This window comes from Homo sapiens, chromosome 17, assembly GCF_000001405.40.
Source record: "Homo sapiens chromosome 17, GRCh38.p14 Primary Assembly".
NCBI lineage: Eukaryota > Metazoa > Chordata > Mammalia > Primates > Hominidae > Homo > Homo sapiens.
Window position 1 is genome coordinate 78,355,981 of NC_000017.11, and position 19,080 is coordinate 78,375,060.

At 55.3% G+C, this 19,080-nt stretch overlaps 1 protein-coding gene, 1 long non-coding RNA gene and 1 pseudogene across 6 annotated transcripts, besides 16 other annotated features; 1 reads left to right on the forward strand and 2 right to left on the reverse strand.

The window, feature by feature from the left end:
• Positions 300–799: an enhancer, noted in NCBI's record as "NANOG-H3K4me1 hESC enhancer chr17:76352361-76352860 (GRCh37/hg19 assembly coordinates)". NCBI's record gives its function as "activates a minimal SCP1, AML or CMV promoter by ChIP-STARR-seq in naive H9 embryonic stem cells {active_cell/tissue: H9 hESC(naive)}" and the evidence as "EXISTENCE:reporter gene assay evidence [ECO:0000049][PMID:30033119]".
• Positions 534–721: a silencer, noted in NCBI's record as "fragment chr17:76352595-76352782 (GRCh37/hg19 assembly coordinates)". NCBI's record gives its function as "represses an EF-1alpha promoter that drives an FKBP-Casp9 reporter gene in an ReSE screen in HepG2 liver carcinoma cells {active_cell/tissue: HepG2}" and the evidence as "EXISTENCE:reporter gene assay evidence [ECO:0000049][PMID:32094911]".
• Positions 798–4,945, reverse strand: SOCS3 (suppressor of cytokine signaling 3). 3 transcript variants are annotated; one of them, NM_001378933.1, is made up of 2 exons: positions 4,876–4,945; positions 798–3,203 (listed from the first exon to the last, which is right to left on the reverse strand). In NM_001378933.1, the coding sequence occupies exon 2, from the start codon at positions 3,113–3,115 to the stop codon at positions 2,438–2,440; it is 678 nt and encodes a 225-aa protein (NP_001365862.1). In that variant the 5' UTR covers positions 3,116–3,203; positions 4,876–4,945; the 3' UTR covers positions 798–2,437. The 3 variants fall into 3 exon arrangements, with proteins under 3 accessions (NP_001365862.1, NP_003946.3, NP_001365861.1); NM_003955.5 differs by lacking the exon at positions 4,876–4,945 and adding an exon at positions 3,770–4,097; NM_001378932.1 differs by lacking the exon at positions 4,876–4,945 and adding an exon at positions 3,665–3,687.
• Positions 857–1,506: an enhancer, noted in NCBI's record as "H3K4me1 hESC enhancer chr17:76352918-76353567 (GRCh37/hg19 assembly coordinates)". NCBI's record gives its function as "activates a minimal SCP1, AML or CMV promoter by ChIP-STARR-seq in naive H9 embryonic stem cells {active_cell/tissue: H9 hESC(naive)}" and the evidence as "EXISTENCE:reporter gene assay evidence [ECO:0000049][PMID:30033119]".
• Positions 3,209–3,448: a silencer, noted in NCBI's record as "silent region_9063". NCBI's record gives its function as "represses an Ori minimal core promoter by ATAC-STARR-seq in GM12878 lymphoblastoid cells {active_cell/tissue: GM12878}" and the evidence as "EXISTENCE:reporter gene assay evidence [ECO:0000049][PMID:35858748]".
• Positions 3,453–4,101: an enhancer, noted in NCBI's record as "H3K27ac hESC enhancer chr17:76355514-76356162 (GRCh37/hg19 assembly coordinates)". NCBI's record gives its function as "activates a minimal SCP1, AML or CMV promoter by ChIP-STARR-seq in naive H9 embryonic stem cells {active_cell/tissue: H9 hESC(naive)}" and the evidence as "EXISTENCE:reporter gene assay evidence [ECO:0000049][PMID:30033119]".
• Positions 3,453–4,138: a biological region, named in NCBI's record as "H3K27ac hESC enhancer GRCh37_chr17:76355514-76356162".
• Positions 3,859–4,138: a silencer, noted in NCBI's record as "silent region_9064". NCBI's record gives its function as "represses an Ori minimal core promoter by ATAC-STARR-seq in GM12878 lymphoblastoid cells {active_cell/tissue: GM12878}" and the evidence as "EXISTENCE:reporter gene assay evidence [ECO:0000049][PMID:35858748]".
• Positions 4,149–4,458: a silencer, noted in NCBI's record as "silent region_9065". NCBI's record gives its function as "represses an Ori minimal core promoter by ATAC-STARR-seq in GM12878 lymphoblastoid cells {active_cell/tissue: GM12878}" and the evidence as "EXISTENCE:reporter gene assay evidence [ECO:0000049][PMID:35858748]".
• SOCS3-DT (SOCS3 divergent transcript) lies at positions 4,468–17,929 on the forward strand. Of its 3 annotated transcripts, NR_110847.1 has the most exons (5): positions 4,468–4,793; positions 6,693–6,771; positions 11,213–11,286; positions 12,748–12,913; positions 17,795–17,929. It is a non-coding gene; the product is annotated as an SOCS3 divergent transcript (long non-coding RNA). The 3 variants fall into 3 exon arrangements; NR_110845.1 differs by lacking the exons at positions 11,213–11,286; positions 12,748–12,913; positions 17,795–17,929 and adding exons at positions 5,786–5,841; positions 8,517–8,951; NR_110846.1 differs by lacking the exons at positions 4,468–4,793; positions 11,213–11,286; positions 12,748–12,913; positions 17,795–17,929 and adding exons at positions 5,022–5,080; positions 8,517–8,951.
• Positions 4,519–4,718: a silencer, noted in NCBI's record as "silent region_9066". NCBI's record gives its function as "represses an Ori minimal core promoter by ATAC-STARR-seq in GM12878 lymphoblastoid cells {active_cell/tissue: GM12878}" and the evidence as "EXISTENCE:reporter gene assay evidence [ECO:0000049][PMID:35858748]".
• Positions 4,949–4,998: a silencer, noted in NCBI's record as "silent region_9067". NCBI's record gives its function as "represses an Ori minimal core promoter by ATAC-STARR-seq in GM12878 lymphoblastoid cells {active_cell/tissue: GM12878}" and the evidence as "EXISTENCE:reporter gene assay evidence [ECO:0000049][PMID:35858748]".
• Positions 7,459–8,036: an enhancer, noted in NCBI's record as "H3K4me1 hESC enhancer chr17:76359520-76360097 (GRCh37/hg19 assembly coordinates)". NCBI's record gives its function as "activates a minimal SCP1, AML or CMV promoter by ChIP-STARR-seq in naive and primed H9 embryonic stem cells {active_cell/tissue: H9 hESC(naive and primed)}" and the evidence as "EXISTENCE:reporter gene assay evidence [ECO:0000049][PMID:30033119]".
• Positions 9,192–9,767: an enhancer, noted in NCBI's record as "NANOG-H3K27ac-H3K4me1 hESC enhancer chr17:76361253-76361828 (GRCh37/hg19 assembly coordinates)". NCBI's record gives its function as "activates a minimal SCP1, AML or CMV promoter by ChIP-STARR-seq in naive H9 embryonic stem cells {active_cell/tissue: H9 hESC(naive)}" and the evidence as "EXISTENCE:reporter gene assay evidence [ECO:0000049][PMID:30033119]".
• Positions 9,768–10,345: an enhancer, noted in NCBI's record as "NANOG-H3K27ac-H3K4me1 hESC enhancer chr17:76361829-76362406 (GRCh37/hg19 assembly coordinates)". NCBI's record gives its function as "activates a minimal SCP1, AML or CMV promoter by ChIP-STARR-seq in naive H9 embryonic stem cells {active_cell/tissue: H9 hESC(naive)}" and the evidence as "EXISTENCE:reporter gene assay evidence [ECO:0000049][PMID:30033119]".
• Positions 10,346–10,435: an enhancer, noted in NCBI's record as "active region_12892". NCBI's record gives its function as "activates an Ori minimal core promoter by ATAC-STARR-seq in GM12878 lymphoblastoid cells {active_cell/tissue: GM12878}" and the evidence as "EXISTENCE:reporter gene assay evidence [ECO:0000049][PMID:35858748]".
• On the reverse strand, positions 14,872–15,155 carry RN7SL236P (RNA, 7SL, cytoplasmic 236, pseudogene; annotated as a pseudogene).
• Positions 15,798–16,365: an enhancer, noted in NCBI's record as "H3K27ac-H3K4me1 hESC enhancer chr17:76367859-76368426 (GRCh37/hg19 assembly coordinates)". NCBI's record gives its function as "activates a minimal SCP1, AML or CMV promoter by ChIP-STARR-seq in primed H9 embryonic stem cells {active_cell/tissue: H9 hESC(primed)}" and the evidence as "EXISTENCE:reporter gene assay evidence [ECO:0000049][PMID:30033119]".
• Positions 16,366–16,933: an enhancer, noted in NCBI's record as "H3K27ac-H3K4me1 hESC enhancer chr17:76368427-76368994 (GRCh37/hg19 assembly coordinates)". NCBI's record gives its function as "activates a minimal SCP1, AML or CMV promoter by ChIP-STARR-seq in primed H9 embryonic stem cells {active_cell/tissue: H9 hESC(primed)}" and the evidence as "EXISTENCE:reporter gene assay evidence [ECO:0000049][PMID:30033119]".
• Positions 17,930–19,080: the final 1,151 nt, after the last annotated feature.

Sequence of the window (19,080 nt, forward strand, 5' to 3'; positions counted from 1 at the left end):
CTGCCTTGTGGGAGCAGGTGGGATGCTTAATCCAGGTAACCTCTAAGTGCCCCTTAGTGTTTAAATGAGAGTGACTAAAAATAGATGGGCTGAGGGGAGGATACCTTCAGCCCGGGAGCTGGAGACCAGCCTGGGCAACATAGCGAACCCTGTTTCAAAAAAAGAGAGAGATGAATAGATGGGTGCTTTTTGGGAGGAGGGTGATCCTGTCCGCTGCTCAGGTTGGGGCCCCTAGGAACGGGGAAGGGAAGCAGGCATGGGGAGCAGTGGCCAGGAAGCCCCTGAATGCCTGGGGTCCTGTGGTGGGGGAGGGGGTGGGGCTCCACCTGCATGCAAGATTTGCTTCAGGACCACCCCTCCCCCCACTTCCAGTGAACCTGGCTAGACTGAGGTCATAGGTCACCACTAGGACCCCATGTCTGGGCTTTCTCGGAACGACTCCCTGCCAAGGAACCAGAGCGCCTCTAATAGCCTGGAGCCTCTAAAAGCTTTGACCACAGCTCAGCTTGCTCCCTGCAAGCCCTTTGAAGCGCTTCCTTCGAACTTGCTTTGCATATTCTGGTCAGATCTGAATCAGACTTGCAGGAATTACCCCTCTCGGTAAGTCTAGGTGGCTGCCTTAGCTTGTCAGTGACACACGAGGCAGGCGTGCTGACGTAAGGCTGAGACGTATTCGATTCCACCCTCTGCGGCTCTCTTCCTCCTCTCCGATGCAGAGTGTGGGTGTGGGTGAAAGAGAAAGCAAGGCACGGGGCGGGGGGCGGGGGGGCAGGGGTGCAGAAAAGGCTCAAGTCATGTTTTTCATTAAAAAATAGTGCTCTTTATTATAAATTACTGAAATGTTTCTTTTCTGAATATAAATATAAATATGTGCAAAGTTTGACTTGGATTGGGATTTTGTTGAGTTCTTCAAGCATCTCCTAATAGCCTCAAGGGCCTGAGTAGGGGGGAGGAGAGAGGACTGGAGGTGGAATCTTTATAAAAGACAGAGTGATTGAGGCAGATTGTAAACATTATTAAAAAACAAGAAACAAACAAAAAAATAGAGAAAAAAACCACCCCAACACACAACTGCCCTGTCCAGCCCAATACCTGACACAGAATACTTTGTGTTTGTTTAGTTGCCCCCCCCCACAAAAACAAAAACAAAAACAAAAACAAAAAACTGTTCCAGGTAATTCCATCGCTGCTACATTCCTGTAAATTGTCACTGATCAGTGCTATGGCAGAGCGGGAGCACCCGGGGTGGCAGCAGTCCAGCCTCTCCAATGACCTCCAGCCTCCCCCACCCAGGCAGGAGGGAGGGCTGTGCAGGGCTCGGGGCAGTGGGACCTGGTGGCTCTGCTCTGACCACGAGGCGCCTGACTGGCCAATACTTACTGGGCTGACATTCCCAGTGCTCAGCTGGGAGGCATGGGTTTCCGCCCCCCCTCCCCACTTCCCTGGCTGTGGGCTGGCTTGGTGCCCTCCAGTGAGTCCCTCAGCCTCTCCACCCATCCAGGCTGAGTATGTGGCTTTCCTATGCTGGGTCCCTCTCCATGGGACAGGGAGCATTTAAGGCGAATCTCTTAGCCAGACATAGTCAGGAGGCACAGAGTAGAATCCCCTGTCTTCTCTACCAGGAGCCTGAGGTGAAAGATGTCCCGTCTCCTCCATCCTCCCGCTCCATCCACCCAGGTACAGGAAGGTATAGTATGAGTAGGAAAAGGAGACCAGCTGACCAGCCCATCCATCCCCTCCAAATGTTGCTTCCCCCTTAAAACGGAGGAAGGGCCCTGGGCTCTCAGGCACCAGGTAGACTTTGGAACCTGTGTTTTCGGTGACTGTCCCGGAGGAGAGGATGTGGGGTACCAGGATGGTTCCCTTCAGGTCACCCCAAGCCCTTCTCCCCGGAGCCAGGGAGAGGAGCATGTCACCAGGATCCTCGCCTGGGGTGGGCGGGGGGTGTGACCATTTCCTTCGCCAGCCCGCAGCCCTGGGGCCCTCAGGACCTCTCTCTCTTCCACCTTTCCCAGGCTCCACAACCAGCTCAGGTTTAAACCAAATCAAAGAGCAAACAAGTTCCGTTGGAAAGTTTGAAGATTCCCTGGCAGTTCTCATTAGTTCAGCATTCCCGAAGTGTCCCCTGTTTGGAGGCAGAGGGGAAGCTGAGGAATTGAAGGAGAATCCACTTGTGGTTGCTATCGTCCCACCAGGACAGCTGGCTCCTCCGGAGAAGCTGGAGACTCAGGTGGTACTCCCCCTTCCCTCCAACACATTCCAGGTCCGCCTGCCACATTCTGCAGGGAGAGGGCAGAGGGAGGGGCCTGTCCGCCCTCTTTCCCCCCAGAGCTACAGGACTCTCTCCTGGTTGGCTTCTTGTGCTTGTGCCATGTGCCACGGAGGAGAGGGGCCTGCGTCCCCTCTCCCGACCCATGCCCTTTGCGCCCTTTACCCCTTAAAGCGGGGCATCGTACTGGTCCAGGAACTCCCGAATGGGCCCCGGCAGCTGGGTGACTTTCTCATAGGAGTCCAGGTGGCCGTTGACGGTCTTCCGACAGAGATGCTGAAGAGTGGCCACGTTGGAGGAGAGGGGCCGGCTCAACACCAGGGGGATCTTCTCGCCCCCGGAGTAGATGTAATAGGCTCTTCTGGGGGGACTCCCAGGGAGTGGCTGGGCAGACGGCTGCTCGGGCACCTCGGAGGAGGGTTCAGTAGGTGGCGAGGGGAAGGAGGGGGCTCCAGGGGGCGGCATGTAGTGGTGCACCAGCTTGAGCACGCAGTCGAAGCGGGGCACGGGCTGCGTGCTCCGGGGATCGCTCTGCAGAGAGAAGCTGCCCCCCTCACACTGGATGCGCAGGTTCTTGGTCCCAGACTGGGTCTTGACGCTGAGCGTGAAGAAGTGGCGCTGGTCCGAGCTGTCGCGGATCAGAAAGGTGCCGGCGGGCTCGGCACTGAGCAGCAGGTTCGCCTCGCCGCCGGTCACTGCGCTCCAGTAGAAGCCGCTCTCCTGCAGCTTGCGCACTGCGTTCACCACCAGCTGGTACTCGCTCTTGGAGCTGAAGGTCTTGAGGCGCAGGCTGGTGTCCAGGGGGCGGCTCATCCCGGCGGCGGGAAACTTGCTGTGGGTGACCATGGCGCACGGAGCCAGCGTGGATCTGCGCGGCGGCGGCTGCAGCTGCTTCGCGGCCTCCGCACAGCGGCCGCTACCGCATCCCGGGGGGCTGCGGAGAGGAAGGCGCGAGCGCGTTGAGTGCCCGGAACCCTCCAGCGCGCCCGGCCCGCCCCGGCTCCCCTGCCTTCGCCGAGCGACTGGGGCACCCACTGCCCCGGGGGCCCTCTCCTGGGCCCGCGCTCCGATCCAGGCGCCTCACGGAGCCCGCACGGCTCCCGCCCCTGCCGGCAGGGTGGCCCCGGGCAGCCCCTTCCCAGGCGCGCACTGCAAGGGCGCAGCGTGGGAAACTCGCGCGCGGAAGTTAGGTCTCCAGGAGTGTGGCCGGGTGGGGAGCAGGAGAAGGGCCCCCGGGACTGCCTGGGCGCCGCTCAGTCCAGTAGCCCCGGGCGGTGTGGACGGAGGGAGAAACCCGAGGCACGGGGGTAGGGAGGGGACAGGAGAAGCCCGAAGGCCCCAGCCGGAGTATTCCGGGAACCTGGGATCTCCGGCTTCCATCCGCTCTGCCCCTACCTCGTCACCTCCCTGCCGGGAATGACCCGGGAAGGGGAGGGGAAACCGGGAAAAGCTCCCGGGACTGAGCGAGACCCCTCCCCACGCCGCGCTCCTCCTTCCTACCTGGTCCCGAATCGAAGTCTCCGTCCTTGGGGCTGAGCCCCCTCGGGTCCCCAAGGCGACGCGGCGGCGAGACGGCCAGCGGTGGCCCGCGCTGCGCCCAGATGTTGGCGGCCGTGAAGTCCACAAAGGAGCCTTCGCGCGCGCGTCCCTCGAGCTTCCCCTGGGCGCCCGCCCTGCCCCCTGCGCACCCCCGGACCAACCGGGAGGGGACCAGGAGAGGGACCGCGGCAAGGGGCCGCGGCGGGAGCTGGGCCGGGCGGGCGGCTGGCGGCTGGCTGCGTGCGGGGCCGAAGCGGCAGCAGCGGAGCAGGGAGTCCAAGTCGGAGCCGCCGCGGAGGCCGCGCTCGCGGGTATATAGGCGGCCGCCGCGCCCCGCCCCCCGATTCCTGGAACTGCGCGGCCGGCCTTCTTGTAATGTTTAGTCACTACTCGCAGCAGAGAAAGGCTGAGCGCGGAGGGTGAGGGAGGGGCCGCGGGCGCCGAGGGCGGGCCGCGAGCAGGGGCAGGGACCGGGAGGGACGCGCGCGGAGACAAAGCGCGACGAGAGGCGGCCGAGGCGGCCGGTGGGCGCGGCGCCAGCCCCGGCGGCGCGTTCCTGGCAGCGGCCCCTCCCCGCCGCGCGCTCCGCCCCCAACTTCTCATTCACACTTTCCCCCCACCCCCCTCCCTTCTAAGAAGGCTGATTTCTGGCAGAGGCGGGGGCGCCGCTTCGGGAGAGCGGGCAGTTCTAGGAGGCCGACCTGGAGAGCCTCCCGGTTCCCCTTCCCCTTTTCCCGGACCCCGCGGGGACACCCCCTCGCCGCCACCCGGGCCTCCCCGAGGGCCCAACTGCGGGTCAGGCGGCCCGGGCCAGCCGAAAGGGAAGTGGGGCTACCCCACAGCCAGGCAGCGGGGCTGGGGTCAGACCCGGGAGCCGGAGGTTGGAGACGTGCGACAGTCACCTGCGGGCAGATTCCAGAGGGGAGACCCAGGGCTGCAGGGGACGCCCCTTCGTGGCAGCTACCCAGCCTCGGCCCACTGCCAGGTTCTTTGCCAACCCTGACGCGAGTGTGGAGCCCCCCTCCCCTCCCCTATGAAAACGCTTTCATGCACTGGGGTCTGCAAACCTGGTTGGTCCGGTGTGGGTTGGGCCAGGTGCTCTCGGCCGGGCTGGAGAGCTCGAGGTGGAACGATGGCCCCAACCTACGGCCCGCGTCCGCCAGAGGGCGCCCTGGGGTCTCCTAGGGGAGGGCAGTTTGGTGCTGCGCGGCCCAGGCCTTGGAATAGGCACGCCAGGGATCTGCGGGAATGGCTGTCTCCGGAGCTGGAAAGGTGGCCGAGAAGGGGGCATTCACACCCCAGGCTGGGGTCAGACCTGGGAATAAAATTCTAGCAGGAGAGAATTTCCGGAAAGCAGTTTTCCGGGGTTCAGGCTACTGCCAGATGGCCCACACCCCCTGGAATGTGACCCCCTGCCTCTCTTGGGGTGGGGGAGGACTTGATCACTGGCGGGGAGGGGGTAGAGGGGAGGAGAGGAAGTGATTGAGGTGAAAGATTGGTTTGCTGCTGGTCACGTTGGCACTGACGTAGATAGTTTGGGCTTGGAGACCCGGGGCCAGCCTTATGAAGGATGGCAAGTTTTGTCATCTTGTCCCCAAATGGGCTGTGTGGTGCTGGGGACACCCGAGAGCTGCCTCAGTGGCATTTAGATTTTCACCTCTCGGGATGCAGACGCTGTGGGCCTGGGGCCCTGCGCTCTTCCTAGATACCAGGATAATGAGGTGCTGAAAGGGAAGGAAGAGACTGCCGCCAGGGACAGGGAGCTTGGGATGCCAGAACCCAGAACTGGCCCTTTTGCCGGCCCTGGAATTGATAGGTGCGCACTGCCTTTGCCACTGTATCCTCAGTCCGTGCCATCACCTCTCCCCAGCATGTGCTGGGGACTCAGTGAGATTTGGACAAGACACACAGTTTCTCTGGGCTTCCGTTTTGCCACCTGTAAAACTGGAGCCAGAACCTTTTCCTTCCCTTTGGCAGGCGGAGGCGAGAGGATCACTTGAGCATGGACATTCAAGACCAGCCTGGGCAGCAAAGTGAGCACCCCCATCTCTGCAAAAAATAGAAAAAAGTTAGCCAGGAGTGGTGGCCTGTGCCTGTAGTCCCAGCTGCTTGGGAGGCCAAGGTGGAAGGATCGCTTGAGTCAGGGAGGTCAAGGCTGCGGTGAGCCATGATCGTGCCACTGCACTTTAGTCTGGGCAACAGAGTGAGACCCTGTTAAAAAAAATAATAATAAAATGAAATAAAAAGGGCCGGGCATGGTGGCTCATGCCTGTAATCCCAGCACTTTGGGAGGCTGAGGCGGGTGGATCACGAGGTCAGGAGATCGAGACCATCCTGGCCAACATGGTGAAACCTCGTCTCTACTAAAAATACAAAAATTAGCTGAGTGTGGTGGCACATGCTTGTAATCCCAGCTACTTGAGAGGCTGAGGCAGGAGAATCGCTTGAACCAGGGAGTCAGAGGTTGTGGTGAGCCGAGATCGCGCCATTGCACTCCAACCTGGCGACAGAGCTCTGTCTCAAAAAAAAAAAAAAAAAAAAAAAGAAAGAAAGAAAGAAAAGAAAAGGAAGAAAGAAAAAGAACCTTTTGCCATAAGAGATTTGAAATTAAAAAAAAAAAAAGATTCTGCACATCAAAGCGTGATAGAAATAGAAGTAACCCAGTTAGTTCAACTCTCCCTCCAGCCTATCAGGAGAGCAGAGGAGGAAACTGGTTTATTCAACACATTTCACAAATATTGAGCTCCATGCACCAGGCACTGGGCTGGGCATTGATATATAATGATGAGTAGGACCTGGTCTTTGCCCTCACAATGCTTGCAGGGTAATGAAATGGATTCTCCTTCTCTCTGTAATCAGTTCATTCTTTTTCTCATCCATTCAGTGTTACGTGGCTGCATGACCATACACTTCTGGGTAGAGCCCAGTGGAAGACAAAGAAGACTCAAGGAATAGCCCTTGAGGTAATGGATGAGAAAGTGCTTTGTAAATTACAATGCTCTGACACAAGTCAAGTTCATTCATCCATTCCATAAACCTCTGCCGAGAGCCTGCTTTTGCCAGGCACAGGGCGAAGTGCTGGAAGACAGAAGTGCTGGGTGAATCCTGCAGGGGGAGATGGCCAAGGCAATCGGCATGGAGCCCCCAGGTGATGAGTGAGGTGGGAGGTGCGGGGCTCCCTGCCTGCTCATCTCAGCAGGAGATCCAACTGCTGTTCGGGCTCTATCACCCAGTAGCTGTGTGACTTTAGGCAATCTGCCTTACCAGCTGTGCCTCGGTTTCCTTATTTGTAAAATGGTTGGAGAGTAGTACCTACCTCACTGAGTTGTCTGGAGCTCCCACATGCAAAATGCTTAGAGTGGTGCCTTGCACATAGGAAGTGCTCAATGCATATTAACTGTCATGATTTTGAAAGCACTGGGGAGGCTTTGAGGAGAGGGAGGAGTGAGCTGAGCTGCTGCAGCTTGGGCTCATAGGGTTGGCTATGGATGTAAGCTGCCTTGTTTTGGGGAACCGTACATCTCCTATGGAAGATACATTCCAAAAAGCTGCTTGTCTTGAAACAGGTCAGCCAGCCACCAAGCTTCTTTTTTTTTTTTTTGAGACGGAGTCCCACCTGTCACCCAGGCTGGAGTGCAGTGGTGCCATCTCGGCTCACTGCAACCTCCGCCTCCCAGGTTTAAGTGATTCTCTTGCCTCAGTCTCCCGAGTACTTGGGATTACAGGCATGTGCCACCATGCCTGGCTAATTTTTTTGTATTTTTAGTAGAGACAGGGTTTCGCTATGTTGGCCAGGCTGGTCTCGAACTCCTGACCTCAGGTGATCCGCCTGCCTTGGCCTCCCAAAGTGCTGGGATTACGGGCATGAGCCATCGTGCCTGGCCTTCCCTTTGGCATTCTAATCTCTCCCATGGTTTCCCATCACTTTCTGGATGAATCCAGACTCCTCGGTGCAGTGTGTGTCCCACGCTGCTCCATGTCAGTTTCATCGGCTGCCACTGCCTCAGCGACTGGTGCCTCGTGCTCTAGCTACATGGAGCTCCAAGCTGTCCAGAAGGTAACGTTCCTCAGTCCTGGGTTTCTGCACATTTGCTTCCCTGTCTGGGGACAAGGAGGGAACTACCTTCCACACCTTGGCTGATTTCTACTTTTCCTTTAAAATTTGGCAGACGGGCTGGGCGTGGTGGCACGTGCCAGTAATCCCAGCACTTTGGGAGGCCGAGGTGGGAGGATTGCTTGAGCTCAGGAGTTTGAGACCAGCTTGGGCAACATAGTGGAGACTCCATCTCTACAAAAAATTTTAAAAATTAGCCGGGCATGGTGGTGCGCGCCTGTGGTCCCAGCTACTCAGGAGGCTGAGGTGGGAGGATCGCTTGAGCCCAGCAGGTAGAGCCTGCGGTGAGCTATGATTGTGCCGCAGCATTCCAGCCTGGAAGACAGAGTGAGACTCTGTCTCCAAAAAAAAGACGGAAAAAGGCAGACACTCTAAACTTCCAGGTAGCTCTTTTTGCATTAACCAAAATGTTCTGACTATATCTCCAGTGAGGATCTTGGGGAAACAGACTATATTTGATTTTTTTTTCTTTTTAAGACTGGAACCTGGTACGTAGAATGAATCTCTAAGTCAAGGATGATGTTGACTTCTTTCCATTGTTTTTAGAGACCACAACCTGCTTTCTTCTAGAGTACTTTTTGGTTTTCCATGCAGGGCTCAGGAGCTATACAGATGGGATAGAGGGTGTGAGTGCTGGGAAGCCCCATCCATGGCTCGCTGGAGATTAGAGGCCTGTTAATCTGAAGACAAAGGAATGAAGACGAAAACGTTTCTGAAAATGTGGGTGGAGACACCTGGGCCTTTACAGGGTACGCTCCAGAGCTGCTTCCAGGCAGGGACCCCGGCTGAGAGAAGCCAGAGCCAGAGAGTCGCAGGCTTGCTTGCTCTTATCTTCCCTCTGCTGGGGGGGTCGAGGGGAGATCTGGCCCCTCTGCTCTGCCCTCCTGATTTCCCGTCTAAGGGATTTAGGAGACTTTTGCCTTTTCCTAATCTCTCCCTTTGCAGAATTTCTGCGAAGTCACAATCCCATTTCCAGGCAAAGGTGCTTGGTCATAAAGATAATAAAGATATTCATTCATGATGGAGGGGAAGTACACAGTGGTTTCAGCTGCCTGTAGGGCTCCACTTACTCATGGTGTGTGACAGATGCTGAGCCCTTCCCCAAATCTCATGGATGGGAAGGAAACCTGGCGCCGCGGGGTGGTCGCGGGAAGCCGTGGCATGGCTTGGTGAACACAGGCTCGCCGACCCGGGGGCGGATGCTGAGGTTGCCATTGTTGGTGGCTGCATCTGCAGTAGACGGGTCGGGATGCCGGCCTCAGACCACAGCGTTGCTAAATGCCAAACCCAAGGCCTCCCCGTCTTTAACACTGCTGGGCATTCTACAGCGCAAGGAGGCAGCTGGGGCTGGACTGCCCAGTGCCTGCCGTTGACTGTGCGTCTTCTGCCTGTGAGCTAGCCTGCCACACCTGGGGATACACGGTGGGGAAATCAATCAGCTTCCCTCCCTTCTAGAGCTTCAGGTCCGGCGTTGGTGTCTAGAGGCAAGGGGAGGAGGCAGGGAGGCCTCTTCTTTTCTGTCCCCCTTTCTCTTGGCCAATTTGGAGGAGATGGTGGGGGACCTGTCTCTCATCTGACCTCCTGGAAGCCCTGCCTGCTGCTCCAGTGTGGCTCTCCCAGGGCTGAGGCCTGGAACCTAGGGCTGGGCTACCTGGGGTGCTCAGCTCTGCCGCACCCCAGCCCTCCTCGGCTGCAGCCCTGGCTTCTTTTCTTACCCACTGGGATGGCCCGTGGGACTAACCTTGCAGCCTGCAGGACTATGGCCCAGATGACCTTTCCGGAGCAGGGGAAGAGTTCACAGGTCTCAGACCAGGTTGACCCCGAGCCCTCTCTTTCCTGCTTCGCATAGGGGCGGGCCAAGGGAGGCAGGGACAATGGCATTCCTGTTTGCAGGCCTTTGTTCCCGCCAGGAGGGCCCCCGGAGCTAATAAAAAGGTTTGTGGCTCCGATGTCTAAGAGGCAGTGGAGGAGTTCTTTCAAGCCTGACATTCCAGGCCCAGCCGGCCTCTGGCATTTCCCAGAAAAACTTCGAGGAGGGGAGGGGAAAGAAAACACTTGAGGGACCCACCCACCTACCCACTGCCCGCCTTCTCGGATTCCTCGTTCCCTCTGGGGATTGGGCTGGGCCGGAGTGCCAGGACCCCTGCCCTGGGGGGCCCATTCCTCCACCCACAGAGGGGCCCTGGGAAGTGTTGAGAGGGTGAGAGTGGGTAAGTGGGGGGTGACTCTAGGAGGGTGCAGAGAGGATGAAATGTTGGGGGCGCAGTGAGAAGAGGAGGAAAGTTTCTTCCCACTTTGTCAAAAAGGAATCCACATCTGCTACAAGTTTGGAGTTGGAGGGTGGGGAGTGAGGAGTTAGCTCCTAGCCAATATCTCCTCTGACCCCAAACCGACAAATGCTGCTCTGTCCGAGGCTGGGGTGGGAAGAGTTTTTATTTGCCCTGAAGCAGCTGCGGGAACAGACATCAGGGCAGCAGGGCAGTTCTGGGAAGTGAGGCTGTGGTGAACCATCTGGGCGGCAATGCAGACGAGGCAGTGCCCAGGACGGGGAGAGCCCGGGAGGGGGCGAGGAGGCCATGCTGTCTCTGGGAGACGTGCCTCTTGGGATGTCCTGGGCCCAGGCGCCCTTGGAGAGGCAGGAGCTGGTGGGGGACCAGCTGAGTGCAGCTGTTCGGCTCGCCCTGCAATACTGCAGTTGGGCTGGCTGCTGGAGCCAAGTGGTCACGGTCAGGTGCCCTGACTCTCCTGGGGCTCTGGGGCAGGTGCTCCTCATGACCATGGTGTGCCTGCAGCCTCTGGTCAAGCTCCTGCAGCCCGGGCGCAGGCTTCCTTCTGAGCCTCTCACCCTCTGGGAAGTCCCTGCCTCCTCCGCAGTGTGAAGCACCCCTGGTATGCACTGTGCCGTGCACTGATTCTTGGGCAAGTTCAAATAGAAAATGATAGGCTGGGTGTGGTGGCTCACGCCCGTAATCCCAGCACTTTGGGAGGCCAAGGCTGGTGGATCACCTGAGGTCAGGAGTTCCAGACCAGCCTGGCCAACATGGTGAAACCCTGTCTCTACTAAAAATACAAAATTAGCTGGGCGCAGTGGCGCATGCCTGTAATCCTAGCCCCTCAGGAGACTGAGGCAGGAGAATCGCTTCAAACTGGGAGGTGGAGATTTACAGTGAGCTGAGATTGTGCCATTGCGCTCCAGCCTGGGCGACAAGAGCAAAACTCCGTCTCAAAAAAAAGAAAAATGTAAAAGCAAAAGAAAAAAAGAAAATAATACCCTCTCTCTGGCTCCCAAGATCCTGAACCAACTTTGAAGGCAGAGAAGTGGGCTAGAAGAAGTGGGGTTGGAGCCTCCACCAAGGACAAGAAGGTGAGACTCTAAGGCGTCTAAGGTGAAACTGGGGCAGCTATCCCCACGTGTTCCTTCCTCCCTCCCCCTTGCCGGCACTGTACTCACTGGGCCTTAGGCTGGTGTTGTTCAGAGTTTCTTAACCTGGAGCATGTGAACTGCCCCTTCCCAGGTTTCATACTCCCCCAACAGCCACTCCCCCGATAATTGCAAACAAAATGCTGGTGGAGGGTCAGGCCCCTGGGGGCTGCAGGACCTGCCTGGAGTCACTTCTTGCCCCTGCAACACTTGTTTTTTGTTTGACACAGTATCAATCTGTTGCCCAGGCTGGAGTGCAGGGGCGCAATCTCAGCTCACTGCAACCTTTGCCTCTGGGGTTCAAGCGATTCTTCTGCCTCAGCCTGCTGAGTAGCTGGGATTACAGGTGCACACCACCACGCCTGGTTAATTTTTTGTATTTTTAGGTAGAGACGGTGTTTGCCATGTTGCCCAGACTTGTCTCGAACTCCTGAGCTCAGGCAATCCACTGGCCTCGCTCTCCCAAAATGCTGGGATCACAGGCGTGAGCCACTGTGCCCAGCCATAACACTTATTTTATACTACCATTTATTCCTTGAGTAGTTATTTATTTATTTATTTATTTGAGACAGAGTCTTGCTCTGTCGCCCAGGCTGGAGTGCAGTGGCACAATCTTGGCTCACTGCAACCTCTGCCTCCCGGTTCAAGTGATTCTCCTGCCTCAGCCTCCTGAGTAGCTGGGACTACAGGCGTCTGCCACCACGCCCGGCTAATTTTTGTATTTTTTAGTAGAGACGGGGTTTCACCATATTGGCTAGCCTCCTGACCTTCTGATCCATCCACCTCAGCCTCCCAAAGTGCTGGGATTACAGGCATGAGCCACTACACCTGGCCTTGAGTAGATATTTATTGAGCACCTGCTATGTGTCAGGGATTGAGTTAGGTGCCAGAAATTTATCAGTCTCGGATCTCATGGAGCTTAGATGTTTTTCCAGAAGGACAAGATTCTTCCAGAATTATATCGGGATTGATTAATTTTGACTGTGCTGCATACTATGAAGAAGTCCCAGGAGCTATGTGAGCCTATTATGGGGAGACCTAATCTATTGGGGGGACAACCAAGGGGGATTCCCTGAAGAAGTAACACACGTAGGCTGATGGGAAGCTGAGGTCTAGAGAGGTCCCTGCCTGGTGCGAGGTCTCCCAGTCAGATCGTGGCAGAGCTCCAGCTGGTGCCCAGGTTGGTTGACTAGACTCCCAGGCTTTCCCCACACACAGGCTCGTCTGGCCTCCCTCCAGGCCACTCGGTGGCATACACAGGGGAGGGGAGGATGGAGAGCTGGCAGAGGCAGGGAGGGCCTGCTGGTGGGACAGGCATTCTCCTGGTGCCACATGCCCGGGCCTCTGCTGCCCACTGTCTTTTCCCATTCACTTCTACTTCACTCTCCCTCTCACTCCCCAAAGGCCTTAGCCCCCTGCTTCCAGCTCAAGCTGAAGTGGCTGTGAGCTGAGCTAAGAAGACCCCACTTCGCCAGGAGGAGTGCCTCACGCCTGTAATCCCAGCACTTTGAAAGGCCGAGGCAGGTGGATCACGTGAGGTCAGGAGTTTAAGACCAGCCTGGCCAACATGGTGAGACCCCTTCTCTACTAAAAATACAAAAATTAGCCGGGAGTGGTGGCGCGCACCTGTAGTCCCAGCTACTCAGGAGGCTGAGGTGGAAGAATCTCTTGAATCGGGGAGACAGAGGCTGCAGCGGAGCTGAGATAGTGCCACTGCATTCCAGCCTGGGGGACAGAGTGAGACTGTCTCAAAAAAAAAAAAAAAAAAAAAAGAGAGAAAAGAACCCATTTAATTCTACCTGTGGGAGGTGGTTCAGGCATTTGTGGAACTTTGCAAATTGAAAACATAGTTTGTGAATACCTAAGACAGCCCCATAGGTCAGCATTCAAAAGGTGCAATCAGGTGAGCCAGAGTCTTCCCCTCCTATTCCCTGGCTTCCTGTGCCACCTGGGGCATTTTTTTTTCTTTTCTTTTTTATAGACCAGAAGATGCAGGCTACTGTGGGCACAATGCCTATGAATTAGCCCTGCTCTGCAAGAAGCAGCCAAAAAAAAAAAAAAAAGATGCAGAGTGGTGGCATGTGCACGGCTGAATGCAGTCTGTAGACGCAGTAGCTGTGTGGCCTATACAGAATTAAAACAATTTTTGAGATAACATTAAAAAAATCTGGAAATTTCACATCTACATTTGAATCTGGAGCTTTCCTTGGAAAAACAGGACACTGGTAGCAGTGGACCACGTTCTGGCACATTCCCGTTGGCCCTTCAGGTGGGGCATGGGCTCCCCAGGTCAGCACAGGCCCACCCTCCAGGGTGACCACCCTCCCCTTCCTTCCCTTCCCTGCCAGGGTCTGCAGGCATTGAGGCAGCAACTCAGCCTGACCTCTGCCTCTCCCAAGCTAAAGGGCAAGGAAGGCTATGGACTTTGGGGCATTTATTTTGAGTCTCTTTCCTAAATTCGAGGAGACTGGAAATAAATCAAGCCTGGCCAGGAGGAGGAGTCCAGCTCTTCCTGTCCCACTGGCCCTTCCCTCTTGGACCTCATCTTAAGCAGGTATGCTTGGCCTCTTCCTCTACTTCACTGTGGGGGCTGGGCAGGGAGAAGCTGCGGGGCGGGGGACCCTGGGATTCCCTGGGACATCACTGGGTTCCCCACGCTGTGGGCTGCTGGATCTCGAGGCCTGCAGCTCCTTGCTCGGGTGGCGCTGGCGACCCGCCATGCCACAAAAGGCTGAGATTCCCCTGAAACCTAGAGCTGCTTTTATCTCTCACTGGTGACAGAGAAACAAACCAGGATGCTCTGCCCAAAAGGCATTTCCAGAAATCTGGGCTCTGGCTTCTTGTTGATCAAATGCCAGAACGTCCTGGGCTTCTTTGTGGCGAGGGAGCCATTGAGCATGGGTGTTTTGTTTTGCAGATGACAAGATTTTCGACACTGAAAAGTTTAAATGATGAATGGAAGAGCTTTGAATGGCTCCCACCCCTGCACAGGGAGGTTGCTGATTCGAGCTTCTGTGTTTGTCAAATTTGTTCCTCACAACTTTCGGCTCTTTTGCACCTCCCCTCGGCTCCAACAGGCTCAGGACCCTAGTCCCAGAAATCCTCATCTCTTCCAGTTTTAGGGCCACACAGGTCTAGCAGAGCCCATGCCAGGTACATGGCTACGGCTGTGGGGAAAGCTGTTTTTTGTCGTTGTTTCTTTTTTTAAGTACAGGGTCTCAGGCTGGGTGCAGTGGCTCATGCCTGTAATCCCAGCACTTTGGGAGGCCAAGATGGGTGGATCGCTTGAGCTCAGGAGTTCAAGACCAGCCTGGGCAACATGGCAAAAGTCTGTCTCTAGAAAAAATACAAAAATTAGCCTGGCGTGGTGGTGTGCACTTGTAGTCCCAGCTACTTGGAAGGCTAAGGTGGGAGGATGGCTTGAGCCCAGGAGATGGGGGCTGCAGTGAGCCAAGATCATTCCACTGCACTCCAGTCTGGGCAACTGAGTGAGACCCTCTCTCAAAAAGAAAAAAAAGAAGAAAGAAAAAACACAGCGTCTCACTCTGTCACTCAGGCTGGAGTGCAAGTGGCTATTCACAGGCGCGATCTCGTTACTGACCTGCATGAGAATTTTCACCTGTCCCTTTTCCCACCTGGGCCGGTTCACCCCTCCTTGGGCAACCTGGTGGAGGCCACCATATTGATGCTGAATTTAGTGCGAACACCTGATTGGCATAGTGCACTGCAGCCGGAATTCCTGGGCTCAGGTGATCCTCCTGCCTCAGCCTCCCGAGTAGCTGAGACTATAGGCACGTGCCACTGTGCACAGCAGAAAACTTTTCTAACCCAGGAGTTGGCAAACTATGGGGCACGTGCTGGAGGACGATTTTTGGAAATAAGGTTTTATTGAATCACAGCCAGGCTCATTCAAATTGTCTGCGGCTGCTTTCACACCAGAGTTGAGTAGTTGCCACCGAGACCATCTGGCCTACAAAGTAGAACATATTTATTTATTTATTTGTGTGGGCTTTTTGTTTGTTTGTTTGGCTTTTTTGAGACAGGGTGTCACTCTGTCACCTAGGCTGGAGTGTAGTGGTGTGATCACGGCTCACTGCAGCCTCCACCTCCCAGGCCCAAGTGATCCTCCCACCTCAGCCTCCCAAGTAACTGGGACCACAGGCATGAGCCACCAGGCTGAGTTCATTAAAAAAAATTTTTTTTTGTAGAAATGGGGTTTCACTATGTTGTCCAGGCTGGTCTCAAACTCCTGGTCTGAAGCCATCTTCCCACTTGGCCTCCCAAAGTGTTGGGATTACAGGCGGGAGCCACTGCTCCTGGCCTAAAATATTTACTATTTGCCCTTTAAGAAAACATATGCTGGCCGGGCGCGGTGGCTCATGCTTGTAATCCCAGCGCTTTGGGAGGCTGAGGTGGGCAGATTGTTTGAAGTCAGGGGTTCGAGACCAGCCTGGCCAATATGGAGAAACCCTGTCTCTACAGAAATACAAAAAAATTAGCTGGGCATGGTGGTCCATGCCTGTAATCCCAGCTACGCTGGAGGCTGAGGCACGAGAATCTCTCTTTTTTTTTTTTTTTTGAGATGGACTCTCGCTCTGTCACCCAGGCTGGAGTGCAGTGGCACAATCTCGGCTCACTGCAAGCTCCGCCGCCTGGGTTCACGCCATTCTCCTGCCTCAGACTCCAGCTGGGACTGCAGGCGCCCACCACCACGCCCTGCTAATTTTTTTTATTATTTTTATTTTTAGTAGAGATGGGGTTTCACCGTGTTAGCCAGGATGGTCTCAATCTCCTGACCTTGTGATCCACCCGCCTCAGCCTCCCAAAGTCCTGGGATTACAGGCGTGAGCCACCGCCACCACCATGCCTGGCCGAGAATCTCTTAAACTCAGGGTGGAGTTTGCAGTAAGCGGAGATCACGCCACTGCATTCCAGCCCGGGTGATAGAGTGAGACTGTCTCAAAAAACAAAACAAAACTTGGCTGGGCTTGGTGGCTCATGCCTGTGATCCCAGCACTTTGGGAGGCTGGGGTGGGTGGATCACCTGAGGTCAGTAGATCAAGACCAGCCTGGTCCATGTGGCGAAATACTGTCTCTACTAAAAATACAAAAAATTAGCCGAACGTGGTAGCGGGCACCTGTAGTCCCAGCTACTCGGGAGGCTGAGGCAGGAGAATCGCTTGAACCCAGGAGGCGGAGGTTGCAGTGAGCTGAGATTGTGATTGCACCATTGCATTCCAGTTTGAGTGACAGGGCGAGACTCTGTCTCCAAAAAAACAAAACAAAACCAAAACGTATGCTGAGCCCTGCTTGGAGGGAAAAGAAGTCTGTCTTGTGCCAGGGAGAGCTGGAGTTAAGGCTTAGTGTTGGTGGGAACAGTATCAGGGACTGTTGGGAAAGATCAGAGTAACAGCTTAGCAGGGAGAGTAGAACTTGGGGAGGTGTTGGAGGGGGATGAAGACAGGAAAAGGGCTGGGGCCTGTGGGGAGACTGGGGGCTCAGGGAAGCCAGGCCCAAAAGGTGGACTGAGCTTTCAGCCTTGCAAACTGATAGCAAACAGTAGGTTAGAGGTCTTCCCAGGAGGCCAGGCCACCCTTGTCCCCACCATTGGTGGAAAAGCAAGACCACAGTGGTTCCCTGTTCCAGCCGGGAGGCCCCAGAGCTCACTGCCTTTGGCCCTGTGTGCATTCCTCACTCCAGCACTGGAGCCCGGTTCTGGGGCCAGATCCTATTCACAGTGCTCAGAGCACACAAAGATTCATGAGCTCGCCTTCTGATGGGGCAGAGACAAAACACACAACAGCAAACGATTAGGTCACTGTAAGGAAGAGGAAGAAACTAAAATCCTGTTATCCGGGTTGGAAAGCTGTTTCTAGGGGAGGGTGACATTTGGACAGAGCTCAGGATGAGATGAGCTGAGGGAAGGTGCTTCTGAGCAGAGGGAAGAGCAAATGTAAAGATGCTGAGGAAGGCCGGGCGCGGTGGCTCACACCTGTAATCCCAGTAGTTTGGCAAGGTCAGGAGTTCGAGACCAGCCTGGCCAACATGGTGAAACCTTGTCTCTACTAAGAATACGAAAAAAATAGCTGGGGGTGGTGGCAGGCACCTGTAATCCCAGCTACTCAGGGAGGCTGAGGCAGGAGAATTGCTTGAACCCCCGAGGCAGAGGTTGCAGTGAGCCGAGATTGTGCCATTGCACTCCAGCCTGGGTGACAAGGGCAAAACTTTATCTCAACAACAACAACAAAAAAGATGCTGAGGAGGATGCGGGCTTGAGAGAAGGCCAGGCCAGTGAGGCTGGACATATGACCAAGGGGAAGAATAGAGGGAGAGGGAGGCAGCCACTCCCAGGTGGGCTCTGAAACCGTCTTTGCAAAATTGTAACTGAGGAAATTATGACAGTAAAAGAAATCAGACCTAATCAACTCCATCTTCTTTTTTTTTTTTTGAGATGGAGTCTAGCTCTGTCGCCCAGGCTGGAGTACAGTGGCGTGATCTCGGCTCACTCCAACCTCCGCCTCCCGGGTTCAAGCGATTCTCCTGCCTCAGCCTCCTGGGTAGCTGGGACTACAGGCATGTGCCACCCCGCCTGGCTAATTTTTTTGTATTTTTAGTAGAGATGGGGTTTCACCGTGTTAGCCAGGATGGTCTCGATCTACTGACCTCATGATCCAACCACCTCGGCCTCCCAAAGTACTGGGATTACAGGTGTAAGCCACTACACCCAGCCCCCATCTTGCTTCTAGCCTTTAAGCAGTCCTTGTGGATTCCTGGGTGTAGGCCGAACTAACTTTGGGAAGGAATTCAGTTCATGGTTTGACTCTGAAACAAAATTGACAACAGCCCTTTCCCGAAAAGACCCCCTTCTTGCCTGGGGTCCAGTCGGCCTTTGCAGGACTAACAAATTAGCTATAAGATTAGAAATAAAAGTTTAGGGTCATGCAGCCTCTGGCTCCAAGAATCTGAACCTCCCCAAATTGCTCCTGGGGATAACATCACTATTGGAAAACCGCAGATCAGTGCGTGAGATATTTTGCAGACTCTGCATTCATGGATCAGCTGACACCACCCAGACCGGTTATCTGGCTCAACCAGTTCTGCCATCCCACCCAGGAATAGAAGATAGCAAGAAAAATTCACTTCAACCTTCTACGATTCCATCTCCAACCTGACCAATCAGCACTCCCCACTTCCCAAGCTCCTTTACTAGCCAAATTCTCTTTAAAAACTCTGATCCCCGAATGCTTGGGGAGACTGATTTGAGTAATAATAAAACTCTGGTCTCCCGCACAGTGGGCTCTGCGTGAATCACTCTTTCTCCATTGCAATGCCTCTGTCTTGATAAATCAGTTCTGTCTGGGCAGCAGGCAAGGTGAACCCATTGGGCAGTTACAGTTTCATCCCATCTCCAGCAAGCAGGCTGCATTCCTTTTAACAAAGAACAGGCTCCTCACAAACAGCTGAACAGCCCCTCGGGACAGTTTCTCATCTCTGGAGGCAGAAGGTGGGCCGGACAGCCACTTCCTCCCTTTGGAATTTGCTAACAGCCCTGTGTTTGGGAGAGACCCTCTCTAGGCAAGCAAGCTAGAGGAGGAGGGGCCTTCCTCTTGTGTTACTGTGATTTTCGGTTGAGGGAGTGAATCACAGGCAGTGAGGCATGGGCTGTTGGCTCAGGATTTCCTGGTGTTTCCTGCCTGGGAGAGCTGCCCCACTCTCAGGGGCAGCAGCCCACCACTC

Excerpts from the sequence above, each read along its gene's own strand:
- SOCS3 (NM_001378933.1), bottom strand. The coding sequence starts at position 3,115 with ATGGTCACCCACAGCAAGTTTCCCGCCGCCGGGATGAGCCGCCCCCTG.